Source organism: Homo sapiens, chromosome 7 (genome assembly GCF_000001405.40).
Source record: "Homo sapiens chromosome 7, GRCh38.p14 Primary Assembly".
Classification (NCBI taxonomy): Eukaryota; Metazoa; Chordata; class Mammalia; order Primates; family Hominidae; genus Homo; species Homo sapiens.
In genome coordinates, this window is record NC_000007.14 from 490,240 (window position 1) to 495,446 (window position 5,207).

Genomic DNA, 5,207 nt, shown 5'->3' on the forward strand with positions numbered 1-5,207 from the left:
GAAGGATCAGTTGAGCCCAGGAGGTCGAGGCTACAGTGAGCCATGATCGCGCCACTGCACTCCAGCCTGGGCGACAGAGAGAGATACTGTCTCAAATGAATAAATACGTATAAAAATAAACAAGTGACTTTCTTGAGACCCAGTAGCCATAAGTCCTCCCTGACATCCACAGTGCAGGGTCTAGGCTTTTCCATCCATCAGGGCTGGAGGTCTGGCTGTGTAGACAAGTCCTAGCTCTTGGTTCCTGGGGGAGGGGATTTGGGAGTCGACCGTGCCAGTGGACGCTGAGTAGCACAAGGCTGTGCCAGGAGGTCCAGAGGAGCCCAGGACAGGGCAGAGCCTGGACTAGAGACAGGCAGGTGGTCCTGAGGTCAGGTGGGGTTCACCACTGAGTTATGAGTCTCTGCCTGACAAGCTTGAGAAGCCTCCCACGCCAGGTGGCAGCTGCCTCTCTGGACCACAAGCCCCGGCACGCCAGAGCGGCTGCATTCCCTTCTGAAATGCAGCTGTAGGGAAAGACCCAAAGCTCCGACCGCTGACCCCTCCCTGGGGATTCAGTGAGACCTCGGAACCCCTGGGGCAGGCGTGCTGGGGACTACGTGGGGGGATACCTGCGCCATTCCCCAGACGCCTCTGGGGACCTGCTGGGGCTGAGCAGGGACAAGGAAGCCTCAGTGTTGGGAGCACCTAGATGGAAAGATTCCCAGCCAGGCCTCCCTGGCAAGGAGGTATGGAAGGGCAGCAGAAAGTGCCAGAATGGGGCTCCCAACCCAGCCTCTGCCCCACAGCCACATCTCCCAGCCCTCTCCGGAAGGGGTGTCACAGTACTGGCACCAATGGCCCTAGTGGGGGACAGGGGCTGTGAGGCTGGTCCTGCCTCGTGTGTGCTCTGGGCTTTTTCCTCCCAGAGTCCCCTGAGGGAGACAGATGGGGGTTGCAGCTGGTGCTCTGTGGCCCGCAGGGGATGGGGGGGTCTGTCGGCAGTGGCTCCTGCAGCCTGGGTCTAGGGCCTGCAATGGGCTTCCCTGCCTGACTGGGGTTGCCTAGAAGTCAGAGTCAAGGAGGGGTGTTTCTGTCTGTCTATATGTCCTGCACACCAGACGACTAAGGGCCTTGGTGGAGCCCCATGTCCAGGGCCTTGGGGCCACCAGGCTCCAGCTCAGAAACCAGAAGGGCCCGGGATGGCTTCCACCACCCAGGGAGGGGCGAGCAGGGGCCTCAGCCGCCGGATGCTGGTGCGTGGCTGGGTGACCGGGGGCCGGATCATAAATACTGCACATTTTTTGGTGGCTCAAAGGCCGGGATAGAAACAGTGGCTGTTTTATTCTGTAGAAACCACACGCTTTTCATCTGAGTACCCTCAGGGAGTGGGGTTGGACTCCAGCTGTGCCAGGCCAGGGTGGGAGTCCAGGGGGCAGGCCAACTCCCGCTTGCTGCAGTCACCTTTGAGGCCCCGCTGGGTCCCGGCTCCCACCCCAGGGAGAACGGGAGCAGCCTCAAATGCTGACGGCGAAGACCCAGGGCCCCCAGAAGTGCGAGGGCCTCCTTCAGTGCCCGCTCGGGGCCAGGGACTCTGCCAAGTGACCTGGTGTGCCCAGAAAGGACTCAGCCCCCAGCGCTGGGCAGGGCAAGGTGGCCTGGGAAGTCCTTCAGGGAGGGCAGGCAGGGACGCTTCAAGAGCCTGGGGTCTAGAGGTCTCATGGTGCCGGCCCTCACCACAGCTCCTGCAGCTCTGTGCCTCTACAAGGGCCGGCCACTAAGGAGTCCTCTCACTCAGTCTTTCCATCAGGGAAGCCACTCACAGGTGGGCAAAGGGGGGTAAGGGTTGGCGGTCCTGGAGCTCAGCCCATCCCACCGAGCCTCCCTCTCTTCCAACCAGGGCAGTGGTGCAGCCCAAGGTCACAGTGAGGTCATCCAACATCAAACAGCTGGGCAGAGCCCAGCAGAGCCCAGTACTCTCACCCCATGCTTGGCCGAACCTGGGAGGGGGCACCTGTCTCCCAAGCACTCTGACTCCCTGACCCCAACCCAGACCAGGCCTACCAAGTACCTGTGGTCCAGCTCACACCGGGCCCTGTCACCAGGCAAGCTTGGAGGTCTGGACGGGGGGCTCTGGTTGCCAAGGCCCTGCAGACGGCCATCCCATAAACAGCCCTCCCCGGCCACTCACTCCGTTTTCCCAGCTGCCGCCCCATCAGAAAAGTCCTGCGCTTCAACCCCGTTCCTTCAGCCTGGGCAGCCCCCCTGCTCCGGTTCCCCTGTGCCACGACAAAGCCAGCTCAGCTGAGGTCATGAGGTGGCAGACAGGGGCCAGGGTGTGACTGGGACAGTCAGGGTCAGACAGGGCCCGGAGCCCTGGAAGCTTCTCAACTTTGTTCTAAGCCTACAGAGCAGCAGGGGCTCTAGGAGGGGTGGGGAGAGCAAGGTGGCCTTGGGTTTGGAGAAGATAACCCTGGCTGCTCTTGGGAGAGCAGGTGGCTGAAGATGGCACGCAGATGGGTGGGCGACAAGGTTGTCCAGGTGAGAAGCAGCCAGCCATGGGGAGGCTGGTGCAGGACCCGGAGCAGTTGGGGCCATGCATACACGGGATCTGCCCTCGGGCTGCATGTATCCTCCTGCCCACCTCTGCTCAGCTCCTGCTGCTGCCACCTGGCTTCCTGCCCAGGCCTTCTCCAAGCCTCTGGGGGGATCCTGGAACCTCCCGGCATTCATGTGTGCAGGCTCCAGGTCTCAGGATTTGGAGCCCGGAGCTGATTCAGTGAGGTCTCCCACTTGAACATTTCACACCCCAGCCCCTCCCTGTATTGCTGGTATCTGCCCTCCCGTAAACCATATGCCCACAACTCTGTCCTTCAGGTTCTGCCTCTGGGGCACCCAGGCCAAGGCAACCCCCAACATCCCACTTAGTAGCCTCATCTATGAACGGCACCCCGATTTCCTCGGGAAACCCCGTCCTCCCCCATTTTCTGTCTTGTGCTTCTGATGGAAATCTATCCCACAACAGAAACGGTACATGGGACTCAGACCCAGCGGATCCCAGGACTCCGGATGGAGCCAAAGTGAAAGGTGGGGCCTGGCGCGGTGGCTCACACCTCTCATTCCAGCACCTTGAGGGGCCGAGACGGGAGGATCGCCAGAGGCCAGGAGTTGGAGACCAGCCTGGCCAACATGGTGAAACCCTGTCTCTACTAAAAATACAAAAAAATTAGCCCGGCGTGGTGGCAAGTGCCTGTAGTCCCAGCTACTCGGGAGGCTGAGGCAGAAGAATCACTTGATCCCGAAAGACGGAGGTTGCAGTGAGCAGAGATCGTGTCACGGCACTGCAGCCTGGACGACAGAGCCAGACTGCGTCTCAAAAAAGAAAAGAAAAGAAAGGCTGGGCGAGGCAGGCGGGTCCCCTGGACACTGGGGGACGATCCCGCGGCAGGGCTGGGGGGTGGTTCATGGCACCCCTGGACCTAAGAGTAGGAGGCACGAGGCCATGCCAGGCCCCACCCCAGGCCCCACACCTGGGGCTGTCAGCTTGGAGAAGCGCAGGGTAAGGGGGCACCGGGAAGCCGGACCCCGCGGAGACCAGGCACCGCGCCGAGGTCGTGGGAGACGCTTCGGCCCCCTCCCGGCTCAGAGGCCCCACCACTCTCCCCGGCTGGCGACCCCTCGCGGATGCTCTTCGGGACTCTCCTCCCGCCTCGGCGCTCTGGGGACCCACGTCCTCCCGGGCTGCCACAGCCGCCGCCCACCCTGCTCAGCGCCACTCACGGGTTCATCCTGCGGCGCACCCGCCTCCCGACGGCTAGGGGGGAAACTGAGGCTCTGAGGCGTCAGGAGCCGGCCAGCGTGGCCGCAGGGGCAGGGCCACCGGACTGTGAGGCGCTGGCTGGGCCGTGGGAGGAGCCCGGCGTCGGCCGCTGGGGCTGGGGGCCGAGGCGCGCCCACCTCCAGGGTCCCCGGCACGGGAGCCGCAAGGGCCAGGCCTCCTTCGCCCGCACCGACCCTCCTAGCCCGCCCGCCCCCGGGGCGCCGGAGCCTGGAACCAAAATTCTCCCTGCAAACGGAGGAGGCCACCTTCAGCTTCATCGCTGGGCACGGGTGGCGGTCACAGCGCTCCCGGGGTCTGTCACCCTCGCCGGGCGCCCCGGGAAGCGGCGGAACCCACAGGCGGCGGGAACCTGCCACTTCCGGTCCAGCCTTGGCCCCGGGCCGCGTCCACGTATCGGGAGCCTGGGGTCCCCGTTCTCAGGACTGGGCCTGTGTCCCCTCCTCCTGCCCATCCCGGAAACCCGGGGACCTCAGGACCAGGACTTCCTGGAAACGGCTGTACAGAGGGGACGGGGGAATCCGTGAGGGGGATGGAGGGGATCCGTGAGGGGACGGGGGATCTGTGAGGGGGACGGGGGATCCGTGAGGGGGATGGGGGATCTGTGAGGAGGACAGGGGATCTGTGAGGGGACGGGGGAATCTGTGAGAGGACAGGGGATCTGTCAGGGGACAGGGGATCTACGAGGGGACCAGGGTTCTGTGAGAGGATGGGGGGCTTCTGTGAGGGAACGGGGGTCTGTGGGGTGCAGGAAATTCTGTGATTTTTGCTACTTGAGTTCAAATACCTGCTCTTCCTTTTGGACCTGGAGGTCGCCATCTTCCCTGGGGTCTGTATCTTGGTCCTTGCTGACCCCATTTCCAGGGAGCATGCAGAGGCAAATCTCTGTGAATCTTGGCCCTTTGGTGATAGGTGCAGGGCAAGGAGCTTCAGTCCCAGGCTGGGCACCTGCCCAGGACACAACCCCAGAAGAGCCTGGCTGGCCCTGCTGTTTGCAGGCACTTGGGGAGCTCCCGCCCCAATGCTGCTCCGGAGTCTGGGGCCCAGCCCACCCCTGGGGTGGGGCAGAGTCAAGGCCCAGGAGATGGAAGGGCCCCTGGATGCCCGGCCACAGCACAAGTCCTGCCTCTCTGTGTCCTGCGACCCTTCTACTTGGGGCCCCCTAGGCGTTCCGGGCCTGCCAGGGGCACAGCTCACTCATCTTTAAAATGGGAGCCAAGCCCTCAAGTTCCCACCCCTAGAATTCTTGGAGGAACCCATGGCTAAGTATGAAAAGCCCAAAAAAACCAAGGAGGTCCCAGGAGGGCCGTGGCTTCTTGTGCTTGACAAGAGGGCACAAACCAGAAGGGCTTCTCTGCAGAACGGGATCCCCGAGCCTGGCCCAGCCCAG

General features: G+C 63.1%; 2 annotated features.

The window, feature by feature from the left end:
- Nucleotides 401-1,180: an enhancer, noted in NCBI's record as "H3K4me1 hESC enhancer chr7:530277-531056 (GRCh37/hg19 assembly coordinates)". NCBI's record gives its function as "activates a minimal SCP1, AML or CMV promoter by ChIP-STARR-seq in naive H9 embryonic stem cells {active_cell/tissue: H9 hESC(naive)}" and the evidence as "EXISTENCE:reporter gene assay evidence [ECO:0000049][PMID:30033119]".
- Nucleotides 1,181-1,960: an enhancer, noted in NCBI's record as "H3K4me1 hESC enhancer chr7:531057-531836 (GRCh37/hg19 assembly coordinates)". NCBI's record gives its function as "activates a minimal SCP1, AML or CMV promoter by ChIP-STARR-seq in naive H9 embryonic stem cells {active_cell/tissue: H9 hESC(naive)}" and the evidence as "EXISTENCE:reporter gene assay evidence [ECO:0000049][PMID:30033119]".